This window comes from Homo sapiens, chromosome 5 (assembly GCF_000001405.40).
Source record: "Homo sapiens chromosome 5, GRCh38.p14 Primary Assembly".
Lineage (NCBI taxonomy): Eukaryota > Metazoa > Chordata > Mammalia > Primates > Hominidae > Homo > Homo sapiens.
Genome location: NC_000005.10, coordinates 135811334 through 135832492, shown reverse-complemented (window position 1 = coordinate 135832492; position 21159 = coordinate 135811334). Strand labels below are relative to the sequence as shown.

Sequence of the window (21159 nt, the reverse complement as noted above, 5' to 3'; positions counted from 1 at the left end):
CTCCCCAACCACTCTCTCAGGCAAGCCAACAATCCCCTCCCCATGTCCACCTGCCACACTCGGGCAGCAAAGGCCTGGGTCAGCTGTCCATGCCTGACCTGCTGCAGTGAAGGCGCTGCCCATGCCGCCTGCTCCCCTCTGCTTCCAGATTCCTGCCCTCACCCAGCTTTCCTCCTGCTTCTCCAGCTCTTCTCATCTTCTTCCCTGGTGCCATGGCCCCTTCTCATGCTTAGGTGTGAATTCCTCAGGGCCCCATCTGGACCCTCACCCACCCGTACCTCCCATCTCTCAGCGTATAACCCCCACACCTTGCTTCAGAGTCCAGACATCCCTCTACTCAACACCTCCACCTGGGTGGCTCGGGTCATCTTAGCGCATCCCTCGATGAACTCTCTCTTCCTCCGCCAGTGCCTCTTCAACTTAGAGAAACACACCTCCACCCAGTGGCCACCCAAAACAGAACCTTGGATGCCATCCTCCATTTCTCTCTCCCAAGGTCTTATCCCACCAGCCGCAAAGTCCTGAGTGTCCATCCCCTCAATGACACCCAGCCCTCATTGCTGTCTCCGAATGTGGCTCAGCCCAGCCCTGTGCCACTGCCCTGCCTGGATCACAGTGGACACGGGTTCCTGGGTCCCTCTGCCCCTGTCCTACTGCCCCAGTGAGCTTCTGAAACTTTGAATCTGCTCAGTTTAGTGAACTTTGATGACTTTCTGTGATCTTGAGCATAAATTCCAATTCCCCAGTGTGTTGTGTGTAGCTCAGTAGGACTGGGTCTGGCTGCTTTTCCACTTTGCACCTCAATGTCTCACATTCTGTGCATGTGTGTGACTGCGCACATGCTATTCCCTTGTGGGGAACACCCTCTCCCTCCTCCCCTGGCTAATCCCTGCCCCCTTCTTCTTTAAGACTCAGTTCAGCTGTCACCTCCTGACAGGCCTTTCTTGAAGGCCTTCCTCATCACCCTATGCCACATGGTATCTTCTAGATCTCATCTGTGTTTCCTGAATATTCTGAGCATATCTGTATCTCTGCTGTCAGACTCAGTGGTTGATTGTCTTCCCATCCAGACTGTGAGCCCACTGAGAAGAGGGTACTGCCTCATTCTGCACTGGACCTGCAGAGCCTGGCGCAGGCCTGATGGGCAGTCAGTCACTGCTTAGTCCGCTGGGCCTTAAATGAGGAGACATGGGGAAAAGTCTGAAGGTCCTGCTGGTGGCTGGCAGACAAGGAGGGTGTCTGGATACAAGACAGAGCTGAAGAGGTGGTCACATCATTCCCAGGTGTGAGGACTCCCCCTGGCCTTTCCTGGAGCATCACAGAAGCCCGGCTTCTTTCAGGCCCTCAAAGGTACCAGCCACATTTCCCCCACAGAGCTTTTGCACTGATCACTCCCTCCACCTGCAGCTCCCTCTCCCTGCCCTCCTCATAGCCGACTCCTACCTCCTTCAGATCTATACCAAAGCATCTTCTGCATGAGGAGGCCTCCCCAGGCCCCTCACAGGAGGTCACGACCTGGTTGCCCTCTCTCAAGGCACCCCTGCTTCTTTTTCCAACTCTCACCATGCCGCTCAGTCCTTGTGCAATGCTTGGTTGCTCCAGGAAGATAGATAGGACCCGTCTGACCTATCTGCCACCGTGACATTTTCGGGCTCTGCCACAGAGCAGGCAGACAGCAATTACTCAGGACCGAGTTCAAAGGATTAATGAAACCGGACCACGGGCTTGTGCTGTCTTTCTTCTTTGAGTGTTTGCCCCAGCTGCATCATTCCTGCACTGGCCTCAGACAACGGGAGCTCTGAGCTCCCTCCTTGACTCTGATGGGAAGGAAAAGGAGCACACGATTTTCGAGCTTCTCATTGGGAGCAGGATTTCTTCCTTTGTTGATGGCACTTTGGGAAAGTATGTGCAGAGCATGTGCAGACTGAATCTGGCCCATCACCTGTTCAGCTTGAGGCTGGCAGTCAAGAAGCAGAGGTAAGTGGCTGTGAAGTGAGGGGGTGAAGCAGCTGGCGGGAAAGCTGGGCTGCCTGGGCTCTGGTCCTAGTGCTGCTGCTGCCTCTCTGGGCATCTTGGGAAAGTCCAGGCCTTAATTCTTCCTCTATTTTTTGGAAGGTAAGGACGATCTCCTCTTAGGTGGTGTCTGCAGAAGTCTGAAATTCTTGGCCACGGGGATATCAGCTGCGGAGGTCTCATCAAGATGCGCCAGGAGAGGGCGCTGCTGCGCAGCGCTTGAGGCTCTCGGGCGGAAAAGACAAGCGTGGCTGCTCATTCTGGATAGTTTCCTGGCCCGGTTTGCCTGGCACTGGCTGGCAGACAGCCACACTCAGTATATGTGTGGGCCGTGGAGGAGATGCTGGCCCAGGAGGCTCAGAGGGGAGTCTGAGGTGCCAGAGCAAACCTCGGAGAAGCTTGATGAGAACCCATCTAAGGTGTTTGAGTACTGTGTGCTTGGATGGGAGGCGACACCCCAATCTCTGTACCTGTGTAGATCTATCGAAGCCTTGAATGTCCCAGGCTTTCTTCCACCTCAGGGCTCCGAGCTGGCCCAGTGCTGCATGCTCCGTTTACACCATCTTGTTGAATTCTCTGACGCAAGTTCTCCTTGGGTAGGTGAGAAGAATGAGGTCCAGAGAGGTCAAGCAGTTTCTCTAAAGCCACACAGCAGTCAGTGGAGGATGATGAAGTCACACCTGCTGTTTGACTCCAGGGTCCATGCTATTAAAAAAAGTGCTGCCTCCTAGCCAAGACTCGGGAAGTAGAAGTGACTTTCCCAAAGACCCTTGCCCCCACCCCCACCCCTCTGCATAAATGCCCTAACTTTTCTGCCTCAGTTTCTCCACTATCAGTGTGATGGTACTAACACTGTCCAACTGTGCCATATTCATAGGACTCCTGCAACAGTTTAATCAGGGGGAAAACATCCCTTCCCCAATACCATCCCAGTGCCCTGGGCTGCCCTCTATCCTTTCTTTCCTGACAAGGTCCTGTGGGTCCACAGAAGTCTGAAATTCTGGGCCGCGGCGATATCAGCTTGAAAATCATATGTGCTTCTTTCCATCAGAGTCAACCTGCGGGTTGAGGCTGGCTCTGCGGACATCTGAGAATAGGAAATGCTGCTGTCCGCCTGACTGAAGGCCAGGCAGGTCAGTGGACCAGGCAGCCCAGGTTGGAGAGGTTTGGAATCAAGGGGTTTCTGTAGGAGTGTAGGAGGAGACCCTGCTGCGTGCTGCTGTCAAGGTCCCATCTGAAAGCCTGGCTGAGCACCTGCTATATGCTAAACTCCCTGGGACTCAGAGGAGTTTGAGTGCTGACAGTGACAGAAGAGCCAGTGTTTGGGGACAGCCTACTCCATCTTCTGCCATGTGGCATTCTCCTCTATCATGCAGTCATCAAACATCAGCTGCTGGGCTGGGGGAGACCCATAAATCTCACATCAGGCCTGACCTCAAATAGAGGCCAGGACCATAGGAAATTTGGAGGGCAGAACCCAGAAGTCTCGGGAAGGAGCAGCATTTGAGCTGGAACTAAAAAGACAAGCTAAGTTGTGAGCAGTGGAGAAGTGTGCAGAGGCAGAGGGAACTGCCTGAGTAGTGCCAGGTGGGAGAATGCAAGGGGAGTCGGGAAGAGTTTTGCTCACCCAAAGCCCCCATGGCTGTAGGAGGGGCAGCTGGAAGGCTTGGAGTTTGGCTCCTGAGGACCCTGAATGCCAAGGAAAGGGGCTAGGCCATGATTCTGTGGGCAGTGGCGTCTACAGGCTAGAGGCAGTCCTCAGTCCTGCTGCTGCTCTGCGAGTGGATGAAAGGCCCATCTCTGGGGCTAGCTGTATCTCACCTGGATGAACCTCCATAGCCCATGCTGAGGCTGGCTCAGGCTCCTTGCAACCAGCATTTTTCTCTGCAGGGAACTGGTGGGCTTGCCCTTGGGAAGTTGAGGCCTGTGCCTGTCCAGCTCCTCAGAAGGGCTATGATCCTCCTCAGCACCTGAGAGCAGGCAGTTCAGCCTCCCCCAGCAGGAGCTCACTGGGTCATTTAATCCACTGCACCTGGACATCCTCCTCTGTAAGATGGGGGTGATAACTGTACCTCACTCAAGCTGCACTTAACACACTCAGTGAGTCAATGCATGTCAAGTACTCTGCACCATGACTGGCACGCAGTAACACACCCAGCAAGTCAAATCTCTCCATCGTTATGACCTGTGTGTCCTGAGTGTTCACGTCTGTGTTAGCACATGGACAGCTCCCAGCCAAGGCCGGCAGGTGGGCCAGAAGCAAACTGCCCTTCCAGCTGAGCCAGCCCCTTATCTGGGATCTCTTTTGCACCAAATCTTTCCTGCAAACTACTCCCTTAGAGAGCTCTGCAGCATGGGAAACCTCTGGCGGGTCTCTTCATCCCCATGAGCAGGGGAGGTACCTCCAGCTCGCCAAGGGGTTGCTGACAGGCTACTGCAGGGCTCTCGGCCCTCCTTGGGTTCTGGATGGCACACACATGGGAAGAGAGGAGGGGACATGGCTCGGACCCTGCTTGGGCTGCACAAGGAGAGAGTGGCCCCAGTTTGTACCATAGACATAGATACCTCCCAACCTGTCTGTTCCTTTGGGGGCAGTGAGGGCCCACAGATGCCAGCTCCTCGATGAGGCCCCAAACTAAAATGACAAGCTAAGTTGTGAGCAGTGGAGAAGGGCACAGAGGCAGAGGGTTGGATACCTCCCAACCTGTCTGTTCCTTTGGGGGCAGTGAGGGCCCACAGATGCCAGCTCCTCGATGAGGCCCCAAACTAAAATGACAAGCTAAGTTGTGAGCAGTGGAGAAGGGCACAGAGGCAGAGGGAACCTCCTGAGCAGCACCAGTTGGGAGAATGCAAGGGGAGTCGGGAAGAGTTTTCCAGCCTTATGGAAAATAAAGGGAACAGTCCTATTGCCTCACCCCAAGAACAAAGACGAGTTTTCCTGGCAAGGGTACCTTTATTTCTTCATACTCCCATCATACTCCAAATCCCAAATCCCCAAACCCAATGGGAAGTCATAGGAGTGCCTTGGAAATAGTAAAAAATAGATTTTCTAAAAAGAATTTCTTTGATGTAACTCTAGTGTGACCGATTGATTTCTCTCTCTTTCTTAAAGTCCTCATCCTCAGGAAGCATGTGAGCAGGTGAGGGCATTCCAGACAAGCAGCCATCGGGTGGAGGAGCAGGGATCCAGTGGTCAGAGGTGTGTGAGTGTCAAAGCAAACAAAGAACCTACACCCGGGGAGGAGACACAAAACCAGCGCCACGGGACAGAGAGGCTGTGAACTTGGGACATGCCAGTGTGGCTGGCACTAAAGGATTTTCAAACAGGAATCAGCATCTAAGTGTCTGGTCCCGGGGTAGGTGGGATGAGCATATACTCTCAAAATCCCAGTGTGATTCAGCCACTCACCAGGTGAGCCTGGGGTTGGAAGTTGGGCTGGAGCACCAGAAAACAGGTCCACAAGGTCCAAGGAGGTAGGGCCTAGCAGACACATGCAGAGTCACCATCCTTACCTGCTCTACCCAAGGGCAGGGGCAGGGGAAGGAAAGGTGCAGAGGCAATGAGGAAAAAGAGAGAGCAAGATGGGTCTAGGGGAGCACGTGGCTCATTTCTTGCTATGCATAGACCCACTGAGGAAGAATGTAGTGAGGAGGTGCTTAAGTACTTGGCCCGAGGTCAGACAGAGCTGGTGTGAATCCCAGCTCCACAGTTCCCGGCTGTCTGCTAGCTGTGTGAGCTCGGGCACCCTATGTAACATCTCTTAGCCTGTTTACTCAGCTGTAGAATGGAGATGACACCAGTGTCTACAACCCATGATTATGGAGATGATCTCTGTAAAGTGCCTAGTACAAAGTAAATGCTTAATAAATGGAAGCTGCAAGTATTACTCCAAAGCATCCAATTAGTGCACCAGCGCCAAGGTGCACGATTTATTTACAAAACCAGCTTCTGGGTGTCTGCACCCTTCAGTTGTTCAGGTGGCTCCTGCTTCCTCTGTCTGAGCTTGGGTCAGGCTACAAAAGGAATGGTCTGAGGTCAGAGTGCTGGACAAGATGGACACTTCTCTCCAAAGCCACTTTTGGTGTGGCTGTTCAATTCTCATGTGGCAGTTTTTCCAGCTAGGAGAACAGGAAGGTGGCAGCGTGGGGCGGGATGGGTCTCTTCCTGGGGGTGGAGTGGCTGAACATGGGGCACAGGCTGAGTTTCTCCCCTCTGCTGCTTGAGGAGAAAGGCAAACCCTAGGCCTGCGGAGTGGGACACCTCATGCTGGCAGGGAGCAGCCTGGTGGGCTGAGAGGGGCTGGGAGAATCTGCCAAGGGTTGGGTTCTTCCTGCTGGCTCTGCTGGGTAAGGGGGGTAGGATGCCCCTCATCCATGGTCATGGGCACTGAGACAGAGAGAATACAGGCCTGAGTGCCAGGGTCCCAGGCCAGCTCTGGTCCCAGGGCAAACTGACTGACCTCTGGGAGCCTCCCCGCAATCACCTTCATCCCTCGACAGTCAGTGGGTGCTGGGGGCCTGCTCTCCAGTGGTTTCTGTTGCAGTCAGCTCCGGCTTCCCCGTGGTGTGACTGCACCAGCCCTGGGCAGCCCCTGAGGGCCCCTGGCTCCCAGATGGAAAGGCAGGAGGCCCAGGGCTAGTGTGTAACCCCTCCTCAGGGGTTCTGTAGTAATGCACAAATCCTGAGGCATAAAGACCATGGTCCCTGGAGAGAGGGGCATCCCGGTCACTGTCACGGGGGAACTCTGCCGAGACCTGCAGGACGGGGCAGCAGGCCAGTGAGTGTGGGGACCCAGAGATGAGGTCCTAGTGTGCCGAGGCAGCCTGGGTATGAAGGAACAGGAAGGTCAGCCCGATGCAAGCCCCCCTCCCAGGTTCAGGCCCAGATACCCGGGACCAGCCTGTGCCTGCAACACCACAGTGGCAGTCCCAGAAAAGGACAGGCCCATGTCTGCTCTACAGCCCAGGAAGCACTCAGCAATGTCACTCACCCATCCAAGGGCACCCTGCTGGGAGGGGTGTGTCTGGGATTAAAACCCACCGGCCTTGCCTCCTCTGTCTCTGCAGTCATGGGCCACAGTGCCCAGCTGCATGGTGGTGATTAGGAATGTTATAGACCACAAGCTTCGGGTCAAATCCCAGGTTTGCTACTTGCTAGCTATGTGCCCTTGGCCAAGTCACTTAACTTCTCTGAGACTCGTTTTCTCATTCATAAAATGGGAATAATAGTACGGCTTGTTTTATAGGATTACTATTAGGATTAAATGAGATGATGCTAATGAAACATTTGTCTGAGAGCCTAGCAAGTCATAAGGACCAAATAAATGTTTCTGTGAGCTCACCATCCTGCTGAGCACTTTAGGTACGTGGTTGTATGTAATTCTCACAATGGCTTTATTGTTGCTGCTGCTGTTCTCTCTTTTATAAGGAAACCACGTTCCCCAGGCCGCTCTCCTAGCAGGTGGTCAAGCTGGGCTTGAACAGGACAGTCTTCCTGCAGTGTCTGTGCTCCCAACCAGTGACACCTTGCTCCAAGGGCCGCAGCAGCCCTGAGAGGGGCCTGTCCAGGGGCCTGTTAGAGTCTGGGCCCCAGGACAGAGAGGTTTGAAGGATGCGGGGGCCTAGTGCTGCTCCCCCCACCCTCTATGGCCTCCTCAACTCACAGAGCATTCGTCCCTGACTGTTGTCCTGCAGAAGCAGCCAGCCCGTGCCTCCTTCTCAGTGGGCAGATCTTGGGAGCCCCTGTGTGACCAGCCAGGAAGGGCCAGGCTGGGCAAACTCTCCTCCTCAGAGCGGTAGTAAGGGAAGAACCCACTGAGCAGTTCTGAGTCCTCCTGGAGCGGTGTCTTGGGCTGCAGGACCAACCCCTCCTCTTCCAGGAGGCACCCATAGGTGCAGAAGAAAGGCAGGTACTCCAAGGCCACCTGGGCCCTATGTGAAAGGTGGAGGGAGCTTAGGGGCTTCTTGTCCCTTGAACTGGTGGCCTGCTGTTGGGAGGACAAGGGTCCTGGGTCATCCTCCTCTAGGAGGCTAGGAGAGGTTGGGGCTCCGGATTCAGCGTCACAGTTCTGACACATCTGAGAAAAGAAGGACGTTCCATCTGTTACTGCATCCTGAATTCCTAACCACACCAGCTCTGTCCCCAGTCCCTGCCTACATTGGAGTCCAGAGGGGTCTTACAAAGCCCAAACCTGACTGTGGTTCTCCTCTGTGAAAAGCCAGCAATGGGCCTCAACCATGGCTAGATTGCTCAAGCACTCAGGGCTTCTTGCCATTCCTAAGTCACACCAAACTTGTCCTTCCCTTAGAGCCTGTGCCAAGATCTGCTCCTGGACTCTCAGCTCAGAAGAGCCTTCCCAGCCCCAGCCTCCCTGCAGGGTGACTCCAGATCATTTCATCACTGGCATGCTCTTCCTGGGCTGTGTGGTCTGCCTGCTTCATGTGTGGGGTGGTCTTATCTGTCTTATCTGTCTGGTGCCTCTCGTTCACAATAGGAACTCAACTGACACTTTTTCAACTAGTCTGCTGGCTCTCAGTCCAACTCATATTCCCTTCACTCTGTCCAGTCCAGCCACACAGGCCTTCTCTTGATCCATCTCACTTGCCAAGCATCCTCCTGCCACAGGGGCTCTGCATGGGCTAATGCTTCTGCCCAGAGTCTCTTCCTTCTCCTTTCTCCTAGGTGGTGACTTCCTCAGCGCTTGGTTAAGGTCACTTCCCTAATGTCCCTGGCTTAGTGGCATCACCTTCTTCATGACTGCCACCACCCTCATACCCCTCATTCAGAGCACCCGTTCCTCTGCTGTGAAATATTTGACTGTGTGGTTTCTTGATTAATATCTCTCATCCTGTTAGTTACAAATTCCACCAAGGCAAGGCCCATCTGTCTAGATCACTTCTGTGTCCCGAAGGCCTAGAAAAACCCTGGCATATGGTAGACACCAAGTATTGGAAGAAAGGAAAGAAGGGTGGGAGGGAAGGAAAGAGGCAGACAAAAAGAGAACACCTTGGCCAGGAACGAAGTCTTTATCAGACTCCATGGTGATAGGAGGGAGAAGTCACGTCTTGGGGAGAGGGTGGAGAAGCGGAATGAGGAATTACTTCCCAGGCCCAGAGGGGACACGTGGCCCAGAGTGCCAGGTAGTGAAAAGCCAGCTCATTCCCACATTGACTATGCCAGACCCAGAGCCCATCAGGAACATGGCAGGGGGCCCCTTTGATCCTGAGCAAGCCCCCAGGCTGTTCCACTTGTGGACTCCTGACCCATGGAAGAACTTATGGTGGCTTAGCCCCCAGCCTTCGTGAATCCCACCCTGGCCTTCCCGACTCCCACCCTAGCCCCTGGGCCTTGAGTCCCCGCCCCTGACACATGCTCCTGTGGTCCATGCTCTCCCCCAACTCCCTGCAGGCAGCCTGACCACTGAGGTCCCTGTCCTAAGCCAGACTCCTTGGTAAGTGCCTACTGGCCCATAGACTGCCAGCTTCTGGTGAGCAGGAACCAGGCCCCCTCCTCCAAGTCCCAGAGACCCAGCTCAGGGCCATCTTTGCTGAGTTTCTACCACTCCCAGACACTCTGCAGAGCTCTGTGGTCCTCTCTCTCAGGTAATCCTTAGGAAGCCCACCAGGATAGACTTGCCTTTCCAACCTCACTGTGCCAAGCAGAAGGGACAGGCTAAATGGCAGCACCCAGGTCTGACCCACTCTGAAGCCTGTGCTCTGTTCGCTGTGAATTATATGTTGTTGTGTGTCCCCCATAGGACATGTTCAAGTCTTAAGCCCTGGCACTTGTGGATATGACCTTATTTGGAAATGGGATCTTTGCAGATGCAATCAAGTTAAGATGAGGTCACACCGGGTCAGGGTGGGCCCTAAATCCAATGGCTTGTCCCTATAAGATGAGGGAAATTTGGACACAGACACACAGGTAGAATGTCATGTGATGATGGAGGAAGCTATTGGAATGATGCTGCCACAAACCAAGGCACATCAAGAATTGCATCATCACAGGAAGCTAGGAGGGAGGCATGAAGGAACAGATTCCCTGCTGAGACCCCAAGAAGAAAACAACTCTGCCGACACCTTGAGTTTGAAATTTTGGCCTTCAGAACTGTGAAAGAATAAATGTGTGTTGTTTTAAGCTACTAAGTTTGTGTTAATTTGTTCTGGCAGCCCTAGGACACTAACTCATGTGGGTTTGCTGGATGGCTCATTTGTGGGGATAAAGGGATTTGGCACAGGCTTGAGGGCTCTCCCAGCACCACCCTGTGAGCAGCTTGGGGAGAGAGGCCCATTGCCATGGCCAAGGTTCACTCTGTTGGGGGGGCTTACCTAAGGCCCTACCCTTCCTGCCATCCAGTGGGCACTGGACAGCACAGACTCCCTGTGGTGGACCAGTGGCCCTCCCACAGCTCATTCTTTCCTGCGAGGGCCCCGGCTCCACTTCAACAGTGAGTCCTGGATTGAAGGAGGCCAGGTGTCCTCTGAGCTCCCCTGGGAGGCCTCAGCAAGATGGCAGGTGCACAATGCCACTCACAGTCTCTAGTGAGCACCACTTCCGGCGTTGTGTTTTGGGGTCAGCAGTAGCACCGCATCGTGACATGATGAAGCCTAATTGTCAAACTCTGGCTGAAAAGACAAAGCCTCCCTCGGCAGGCCTCTTCCTCCCAGCCTCCTCTTTACCCTGGCAAATCCCCCTCTGCCTGCTGAGAGAAGATTCCATCATGAAGTCATAAGGTCTGGTGCCAGGCAAGAAAGCCAGATGGCTCTGTTACCATGGAGACTCCACCCAAGCACCCAACACCTGTGATCATCACCTGTCTCTTAATTCAGCTTAATCCACATCTCCCCAGGAGACTCAGGGGAAACAAAGAGAATGCAAACATCTTCTGGAATCTGATCAGTTCTTCATGACTGGGGGCCAGTGAGCTCACCTGGGACTTCTGCCCAGAGACTGTGAGAGTGACTCAGCACCTCCAGTAGATGGTCAGGAAGGGCCCCAAGGATCTGTTCCCCCAAGTCCAGGGAACTGGAGTGAGCTGCATGGGCCGCTGCTCTCTGGGGTGCCTCAGTCCGCTCAGGGTGGGGCTGAGACACCAGTCTCTGCCCTTGTCACTCGCTTTCAGCTGCCTCTCCTCTGTGGCTCCTCTCCAGTCACTTGCTGGCAGGACACAAGACAAGTGGAGCAGTCATGGGAGGGCTGATGATGTAGGACATCTGCTTTGTCCCACAGAGCCACCGTCCCCAGCTCCTCTCCCAGGCCTGGTGCTCCTAAGTGTTAACTACTGCCCAGGGAAGTTCCCATGTGGTGTGTCATGTAGTCCTCTCCACAAATCTTCAAGTAAGAAAGTGCACCACTGTCATGCCATTTTGCAGATTGGAGAGTTGAGCCTCAGTGCCGGGACAGGAAGGTGAACCAGCCTGAAAAGGGGGCTCTAGTTAGTTTCTAGCCTTAGGGCTTGAGGCAAGAAAGCCTTGGAATGCCATTGATGGTCACGAGGCTGAGACATCTCCAGGACCTCACACTTCCCCAGGGCTGGTGTCCAAGTCAGGAGTGACCCAGCCGGGTTCTCCAGGCTCAGGCATGGCTACCACATCTCTCTACTCTGTGCCCTCAGACCCTGGTCCCCATCTACTGCTGGGCCATTTTCTTTTGTATAGACTTAACTCTTTAATCTATGTCAAATTTAGTTGTTGTAAATGGTAATAGATAAGCCTCTTATTTTATATTTTGAATAGTCACTCGACTCAACGTCACTTAAGAATAAATTATTTGTCCCTAACCTGATTTGAAATACCAAAATAGACACATTCTAAATTCTTAGCTATTGCAAACTTGTCCATTTTTATGATTTTTTTTATCCATCTCTTTGTCTCTCTTTGTACCAATACCATATTATTTTGATCTCTTTAGTTTTATATAAATTTAATTCATGTTATGTCATCACCTCTTAAAAATTCAACTTCATTGAGGTCTAATTTATATACACCGTAAAGTGTGCTGTTCATGAATTTATACACCAAATAACAACCTCTGAATTAATATATAGAAATGCCTCTTTTCAGGTAATCTGCTCTCTTGCTTCCCAACTCCAAGCAACCACTGATGTGCTTTTTGATACTATAGATTCATTTTACCTATTCTAGAATACACGGAATCACACAGTGCATGTTCTTTTGTGCCTAGTGAGCATCTAATATTCAGCACTATGTTTTTAAGATTCATCCTTTTTGTGGTACAGTTTGCTCCTTTTTATTGAGGAGTAGTATACTGTTATGTGGCGTAACACAATTTGCTTATCTAGCCTTCTGTGTATACAGTCTAGTTGTTTCCATTGTGAATAGTGCTGCTAGAAATGGTTAGGTACAAGTCTTTGAGTGGGTATAGTTTTCATTCTCTTAGGTAAATAGCTAGGATTTGAGTAGTTTGATCACATGGTAAGTGTATGTTTAACTAAATAAGAAACTGCCAAACTGTTTCCATTTTATGGAATATAAAATGATCCATTCATTTTACATTCCCAACAGTAATGTGTAAAAGTTCCAGTTTCTTCACATTCTTACCACCACTTTTTAACTTCTGCCATTCTCGTGGGTGTATAGATACCACGCTGGTTTTAATTTGCATTTTCTTGATGACTAATGATGTTGAGCATTTCTTTTATGTGCATACTGCCAATTTGTATATTTTCATTTAAGGGTTTACATCTTTTCCCATTTTAATAACTTTATTGTTATAATTAAAGTACAATTAGCTACATAAAGTGTACAATTTGATCAATTTTCACATATGTACACACCTCAGAAACTATCACCATGGTCAGGATAACAAATATTTATATCAACCCCCAAAATTTTCTCATTCAGTTTTATAATCCATTTTCCCTCCATTCCCATCCACAGACAACCATTGATCTGCTGTCACTCCAGATTATTTTACATTTTCTAGAATTTTATATAAATGGAATCTAAAGTGTATGCTTTTGTATGATTTCTCTTAGCATAATGCTATTGAGATTAATCTATGCTGTTGCACGAATCAATAGTTTGTTCCTGTTTTGTTGAGCACTATTCCACTGCATGGATATATCCCTGTTGTTATTCTACTGTATGTAGTGTGCCATTCTTCTCTAGCTGTTTTGAAGATGTTTTTCTTTAAGCTTTGTAAGTGGTAACAGATAAGGTTTTTAGCACTTTATAATGTGTCTAGGCATGGTTTTCATTGACCTTATCCTTTCTGGGGTTTACAGAGCCTCTTAAGTACATTGATTTACATTTTTCACCACATTTAGGAAGCTTTAGATCTTTATTTTGTCAAATTTTTTTTTTTAGCCTATTTCTTCTCGCCTTCTGGGACTCCAATGTCATGTATGTTAGATTTTTTTTTTTAATGTTTTTCCATGGATCCCTGAGGCTCTGCTCATTTGTTTCTTAACCTTTTCTCTGTGTCCTTCAGATTGTGTAAATCATATGGATCTATCTTTAAGCTCACAGACTCTTTCCTCTTGACATCACCATTCTGCTACTGAAATCATTCAGTGAAAATTTTTTTTCACATTTCGTATTTTTCAGTTCTAACATTTTCATTTGGTTTTTTTTTATAGTTGCTATTTCTCTATTGAGAACTTCTTTTTATTCGTGCCAAATGTGTTTTTCTTAACCTCACAGAACGTAGTTGTAATAGCATTTTGAAGTCTTTGATGATAATTCCAACACATGGCCCACCTTGGGGTTGACATTAGTTGTCTTTTCCCTTGAGAATTGTTCACATTTTTCTGGTCATTTGTATGCTGGGTAATTTTAGATTGTCCTAGACATTTTGAATATCATTTTGTGTAGACTTTGGGTCAGGTACATAATCCTCTGTAGAGAGCTGATGTTTTAGCTTTATCAGGAAATCAATTTAGTTAGGTTTGAGCTGCAAGTTCTGTCTTGTCTTTCGTCTACAGTGGTGCAAATTTCAGTTCTCTAAGCATTTGCTGTATTCATTTGGGTCTGTTTTTTGGATGCATTATTTAGCAATTAGGATAAAAAGATGTGTGCACATGGTTTAAATCTTAGTTGGGTTCTTTCTGAAGGCTTTTCTATTCTGGTTTAGATCTATCCCACTCATGCATAACTCAGGAGTTAGGCTGAGACTTGTAGGCATTTATTCACAGAATTAGAGGACTGCTTTTCTGGCTACCTTCCCTCCTGGATGTCCTCATGCTTTGTTTCCTTCCAGGGTCTCTGTCCTGGTTCATTTGACCAGAAATACTGGATTTCTTCTAGAGTAGCCATCCTTTTGCCACCACTGCATTGCTGTTGTGTAATTAGAATGTGCCTTCTGGGCAAAGCTGAGAGAGAAAGAAACAGAAACAGAGGGAGAGAGAGAGAGAGAGAGAGAGAGAGAGAGAGAGAGAGAGAGAGAGAGAGAGAGAGAGAGAGAGGAACAGAGAGAACAAACCTGGGAAACTCTCCCCTGCATGGATCACTGTCTTAAGTCCAAGTAATCTTGCCTCTCCTCCACAATGTTTTTGTTTACTTTTTAGAGTTCTCGGGTAGCTAGTTTTTGCGTTTTGTATAGAGTTTTTGGTATAGTAAGTGGGAAAATGGGCCATAGTGAGCTTAGGCTATCATGCTATGACCTTCATTTTGCCCACTTCTTGTAAGATTGTTTGTCTTACTGTTGAGTTGTAAGAGCTTTTTGTGTATGCTGGATACAAGTTCTTTGTCAGAAATAGGTATTGTGAATGTTTTCTCCCAGGTTGTGCCTTGACTTTTTATTTTATTAACAAAGTCTTTCTAGGAAATGGAAATTTTAAATTTTGATGGAATCTATTATTTTTTGTGTTTTTTGTATGCTATCTAAGAAATCTTTGCCTACCATAAGATTGTGAACATTTCTTCCTACCTTATTTTTCAAGTTCTATAGCCTCAGCTTTTATATTTAGGCCTGTGATTCCATTTGAGTTCATTGATGCTATTTGAGTTTGGGAGCAAGATTTATCTATATTTTCCATTTGGATAGCTATTGTGCCTCACTGGCTGAAAAGACTTTTCTTTCCCTCATTGATATACACTGGCATATTTGTCAAAAATCAGTAATATACATGTGGATTCATACCTGGATTGTCTATTCTGTTCCATTGATCTCTACTCACTGCCTTATTGTGGATCACAGTTTCTCAGCCTTGGCACTATTGATACTTTAAGCCAGATAATTCTTTGTTTCGGGCCATTGTCCTGTGCACTGTTGGATGTTTAGCAGCATCTCTGGCCTCTACCTACTAGATGCCAATATCATACTGCTCTCCTCCCTCCAGAGTAATGACAATAAAGAATGTCTCCCAACTTTGCCAGATGTTCCCTGGGGGGGAAATTGGCCCCATTGAGCACTGCTGCTATAAATTTGCTATATTCCTTGATAGCTAGGATAGTCTGCCAACTTTGCTCTTTCTAAAATACATTTTTATATTTTTACAATATAAACAAAAATATATTCTAGGTCCTCTGCAGTTTCATATATGTTAAATTTATCTCTAAATATTTTGGGGTTTTTATGTCTCTCTTTTTTAGCTGGTTTTATTGAGATCTAATTGTGTACAGTGAAATTGTCAAATACAATGTTACATTCTAAAGAATGCCTTCAGGTTGAAAGCTGAGGTAATTTTAGGGCTCACCTCATTTGTTCTCTTTCTCTTTGGATCATTGTCCTGTGTTTTCTGTTTTCCATCATCTTTAAATAGTGGTTTCTTATTTTATTCAGTTTTCTTGTTGTTTATAGTGGGAGGGCAAATCTAGTACCAGTTACCTCACCATGACTATAAGCAGAAGTCCCTAATAACCAACTTTTAACAGTCTCATTTATTTGAGTGGTTACTCTGTGCCAGAAACTACACTAGTCATTCTTCATTGATTATTTTATTTCTTATGAATAATCTTATCAGGTAGTTACCAATGATCATCCCTATGTAAAGATAAGAAAATGAGGTTTAGAGAGGGTAAGAATTTATTGAGTAATAGACAGTAGCAAATGGCAGGGCTGGAATTCAAATTTTGGTAGTTGGATTCTGAAGCGAAGTGTTTAATCACTTTGCCAGTTGTACAAAAGCACTATATGAAAAACGATTTTAGATGACACACAGGTTAACTGTTTTTATTTTAGTAGCAAATTAATGTAATATATTTTATGTAATATATGTTAGAAAAAATATAGTTACCACATCTGATATGGTTTGGTTCTGTGTCCCCACCCAAATCTAATCTCCAATTGTAATCCCCACATGTTGAGGGAGGAACCTGGTGGGAGGTAATTGGATGATGGGGATGGTTTCCCCCGTGCTGTTCTTGTGATAGTGAGGGAGTTCTTACGAGATCTGATGGTTTTAAAAATAGCAGCTTTCCCTGCACGCTCTCTCTCTCCTGCCACCATGCGAAGAAGGCACCTAATTCCCTTCACCTTCCGCCATGACTGTAAGTTTCCTGAGGCCTCCCCAGCCATATGGAACTGTGAGTCAATTAAACCTCTTTTGTTTATAAATTACCCAGTCTCAGGTAGTATCTTCACAGCAGTGTGAAAATAGACTAATACAACATCTAAGCCATGATTTTTCAGATACTTTTGCTTGGGACAAGAGTGAGTAGATTTTTTTAAAATAAAAATATGAGTCTGTTTAAATATCTGTATTACAGGTCATAATCAGATATGGCAAGAACATGCAGGTGACAGAGAATATCTGCACTCTGGGAAGGTGCACTGACTACACGTATCCCTTCTGGCTTGGTGAATGTGGCTCCAGGCCTGCCCCTGTGTCCATGTGCATCTGTAGACATGGATGGATAGAACTAATTTTACATAAAGGAAACTCTCACTGCAACTTGCTTTCTTCATTCCACAATATGTGCTAGCCTTTGCCCTTACCCATACATAGAGAGAGTTCAAAGGCAGCCCCTCAGGCCTTTCTGTGTGGTTGATGCTCTTCCTTACCTGCAAGCAGCTTTTGGTGCCTTTATAGCAGGGGTCCCCAACCCCTAGGCCATGGACTGGTACTGATTTGTGGCCTTTTAGGAACCAGGCCACACAGCAGGAGGTGAGCAGCTGGCAAGAGAACATTACCACCTGAGCTCCACCTCCCGTCAGATCAGTGGGGGGCATGAAATTCTCATAGGAGCACAAACCCTGTTGTGAACTGTGCATGTGAGGGATCTAGGTTTCATGCTCCTTATGAGACTCTAACTAATGCCTGATGATTTGAAGTGGAACTGTTTCATCCCACAACCATGCCTTCCCCCTCTCTGTGGAAAAGTGGTCTTCCACCAAACTGGTTCCTGGTGCCAAAAAGGTTGGGGACCGCTGCTTTAGAGTACATCCACCTCACAGATGCTGTGAAAGTCAGGGTTCCAGGATCTCCATAGCAGGCCCTCAGTTATCCCAGCCAGCACAGAGCCCAAGAGGAAATGCACATAATTCACTGTGTAAGATGAAACTTAATCAAACTGGGAGGTAACAAAAGGCCCACAGCTCCAGCATCTGGTCTAGCAGAACCCACAGTACTCTGTGGGCCCATCACAGTAAGGCCCTGCCAGTTCACGAGGCAGTGGCCTCCCATGGCCCCATGGCCTCACTGAATCCTCACTAGGCCTTCATGCCCAGAGACCAGCCTGGATGATCCAGCTGAGACAAACGATGACTTGTCCAGGGCTGTAGAATGATGGAGGTGGGAATCAGCACCAGGAACTGTGCCAAGGAAACAGTTTAAGCATACTCTCACATGTAACTGTCATCACACCAGGGCTGGGGATTCAGAGCACCATCCTGGAGATGCGGCACTTGAGGTCAGTGTGTCTGGGTGCCTGGTCCCAGGTCCCTCTGACTCCGGAGCCTGTGCTTCTAGCCCCTACTCTGCAGGAAAAGCATGCTTGCTGCCCAGACAGACTGCACCATCTAGAAGGAGAGGGACACTAGCCTTTCTGATGACTCATATTTTGTCTGTGTAACAGGGACCATCTGACCCATCCTGGAAGAAGCAGGTGAGGACAGCACAGGCAGGATGTTTGACATTCCTACTGTCCTGGGACACATGATCCCAGGAACACATGATCCCCTCACTGCTGCGTGCAGTTGGAGTTCTCAGAAAGCAGAGGTTAGCAAAGGCTGGAGTGATCAGAGTAGGCTGTCTGCAAGAGGCAGAAGGGCTGGACTGTGACCAAACTGAGTGAATCTTCAGGGAATGGATCTAAGGGACAAGTGCCCAAGCAGAGGCAGCCAAAGGATGGAGCATGGAAAAGGCCCAGGGTGCAGAAGCCCAGTCAGGGACATCCATGGCAATGGTGCTCATGGGCATGGACCCTCAGCTCAGTGAGAAGTCACTCTCAACACCTGGCTCAACTGCAGCGCAGATTCCATTTCATCTGCAACTTGGTTTTCCATGATGGGGGGAAAATATCCCCAAACCCGCCACATGGGTGCCTCTGATCAAAGCAGCCCTTCATGTTTCCTTTCCTGGAGTGACAGGAATAGCACACTCTGTGTCACCTATGTGCTTTTCTTTCTCGGGGATTCACTTCTGACCTTGTCTCCAACCACTCATCACCCAGAGCCGGCTTGGGGGTTGGTGCAGTTGCTCTGTGGGGCACATCAAGTGCCTTTGTTCCTGAGCGCCTGCACTCAGCGCAGCACCCTCCTCTTGCCCTCTGGGAAAGTTCTCCTCTCTCCCCTTTTTCCCAACATTGCTCTTCCTCCCGCCCAGGATTTCTGCCTGAAAGGATTGATGTTGTGTTTAATTTTCCCTCTCTGCCTGACTACCAGATGAGCTGGTTGCCAACTCTCTTCTCCAATTCAGATAAGAAGTTTGTCGTGTCCGAAGGACAAACTTTCAGAGTAATGTCCCCTTTTCAACACTGACAAATCAAAGCCATGGCTGTATATAATAGATCCTGGTCATAGTAACAACACCAGTGCTACTCAAGGGTCTTATAGCTCTCCTTCCCTCTCGCCCCATCTATGGCCCTGACATCTCTCACCTATCAGACAGTGTCATCTGGATACCCCATGCACAGTCTCTGTGTCACTGTGTGCTATTCCTTCTCTGGGGTCCACTTCTGGCCCTGTCTTCAACCACTCTCATTCCCACCCTCACTCTGACTGTGGACAACTACCGCATTTCTCAGCTGGTCCCAACTTTCAACACTCCCCCAACCCACGCTGCTACCAGGCTTCTTTCTCTAAAATTCTGACTTCATCCCATCACTCCTGAGGCCCCTCTTAGCCTGTGGCTTCCCCATTTGAGTTATGAACCTTGGGAGATGGCAGAGGGTGAGTGGTATTAGGTAGCAAGGCCAGGCGCTGGGCACCTCCAGAAGGGAGCTGGTGGATGCATTGAGCCAGGAGTCTTCAAAAGAAATCAGCTTTATGTTCTAACAAGATTAGGTAAGTGGTATCCCAACAACCCCGGGGGCCCCTCTCATAATTAAAGGCAGGCTTGAGTTTTACGGGGCTTGGGGCCCGTAGCTAAGCCCTTGGATCCAGTTCCCCCAGAAGCAGCCGCCTCTTCTCCACCTGCAGCTGGCACTCACCTTTAACTTTTTCACAGCACACTGCTCTCCTGGTTTTATCACTTCATTCACTCTTGACACAGACACAGACAGCAAAGGACAGGCTGGCAGCCTGCAGTGGCTGTCCCTCCTGCTGCCTGGTGTACATGGGCAGCTGGGGTGAATGCAGAGGGGCCGGACAGCTTCCAAGTCAGCTCTGGGGAGCACACATCTTGGTTTGCTGTGCCCCAGAAGTCATCTCCTCCTCCAGGAGCCCTTGGACCCCGCAAAGGGGTTGGAACTGGATGTTAGGGAGAAAGACATCGCAGATAAGCCACACTTAGGGCAAAAAGCTTGGTCAGGGCCAGACACATTGGAGAGTCCTAGGAAGACATCACAGGTGGAGGTGTGCAGAGAAGATGCAAATATAACAGGAGGGATGATAGCTGAAAGGAGAAAAACAGAGTTGAAATTCAATAATTTGTGTGCCCCTGTCCTAATTTCTCACAATCCCACCTATCACCAGGACTATTGTTGTCTACAGTTTGTCTATAAATTAATTCACTTAAAAAAACCTTAAGCACAGCAGGGTGACTACAGTCAACAATAATTCATTGCACATTTAAAAATAACTAAAAAAGTATAAATGGGAGTGTTTGTAACACAAAGAAATGATAAATGCTGGAGGGGATGGATACTCCAGTTACCCTGATGTGATTGTTACAAATTGCATGCCTGTATCAAAATATCTCATGTACCCCATAAATATATACACCTACTATGTACCCATAGAAGCTTAAAAAATAAAATAAAATAAATAAAAATCAATTCAGTAAATAAAATCCCTTAAATATTCATATTTATTTGTTTATTTATTTATTTTTTTTGAGACAGAGTCTCACTCTGCCACCCAGGCTGGAATGCAGTGGTGCGGGCTCAGCTCACTGCAACCTCTGCCTCCCAGATTCATGCAATTCTCCTGCCTCAGCTTCCTGAGTAGCTGGGATTACAGGCCCATGCCACCACACCCAGCTAGTTTTTGTATTTTTAGTAGAGACAAAGTTTCACCATGTTGGCCAGGCTGGTCTCAAACTCCTGACCTCAGGTGATCTGCCCACCTCAGCCTCCCAAAGTGCTGAGCTTATAGGCATGAGCCACTGCACCTAGCCTAAATACTCATATTTAAACAGGCAAATTTTACCAAAGGAAGAATTGGGACAGGACGGTGTCTTTCTTTTATTGCATTTTTCCTGCACTTATTTTTTTTTAAATTACTTACTCATTTTTAATTGACAAGAATGGTATATGCTGTATTATGTAAAACCTGATCTTTTGAAATTACATGTATATTTTAAAACATTGAACTAATTAACATTTGTATTTCCTCACATACTTATTTTTTGTGGTGAGAACACTTAAAATCTCAGTGATTTTCAATAACACAATACATTGTTACTATGGTCACCATGTTGTACAACAGATCTCTGGAACTTATTCCTCCTGACGAACTGAAATTTTGTACCCTTCGACCAATATCTCCTCAATCCCCCACCCCTAGCCTCTGGTAACCACCATTCTACTCGGTGCTTTTATGAATTCGATTGTTTTAGATTCCACATATATGTGAGATCATGA

General features: G+C 48.3%; 1 protein-coding gene and 1 long non-coding RNA gene across 3 annotated transcripts in view; both read right to left on the bottom strand.

The window, feature by feature from the left end:
• The window catches only part of SLC25A48 (solute carrier family 25 member 48), a 309466-nt gene that overhangs the window by 56145 nt on the left and 232162 nt on the right, over nucleotides 1–21159 (bottom strand). For both annotated transcript variants that reach the window (NM_001349335.2, NM_001349345.2), the window contains exon 4: nucleotides 19567–19970. The gene's annotated coding sequence lies outside the window, so the exon portion shown is untranslated. The remainder of the gene's footprint in view (nucleotides 1–19566; nucleotides 19971–21159) is intronic.
• On the bottom strand, nucleotides 5911–10710 carry LOC107986453 (uncharacterized). The gene is made up of 4 exons (NR_171171.1): nucleotides 10547–10710; nucleotides 7677–8090; nucleotides 6498–6768; nucleotides 5911–6027 (listed from the first exon to the last, which is right to left on the bottom strand). It is a non-coding gene; the product is annotated as an uncharacterized LOC107986453 (long non-coding RNA).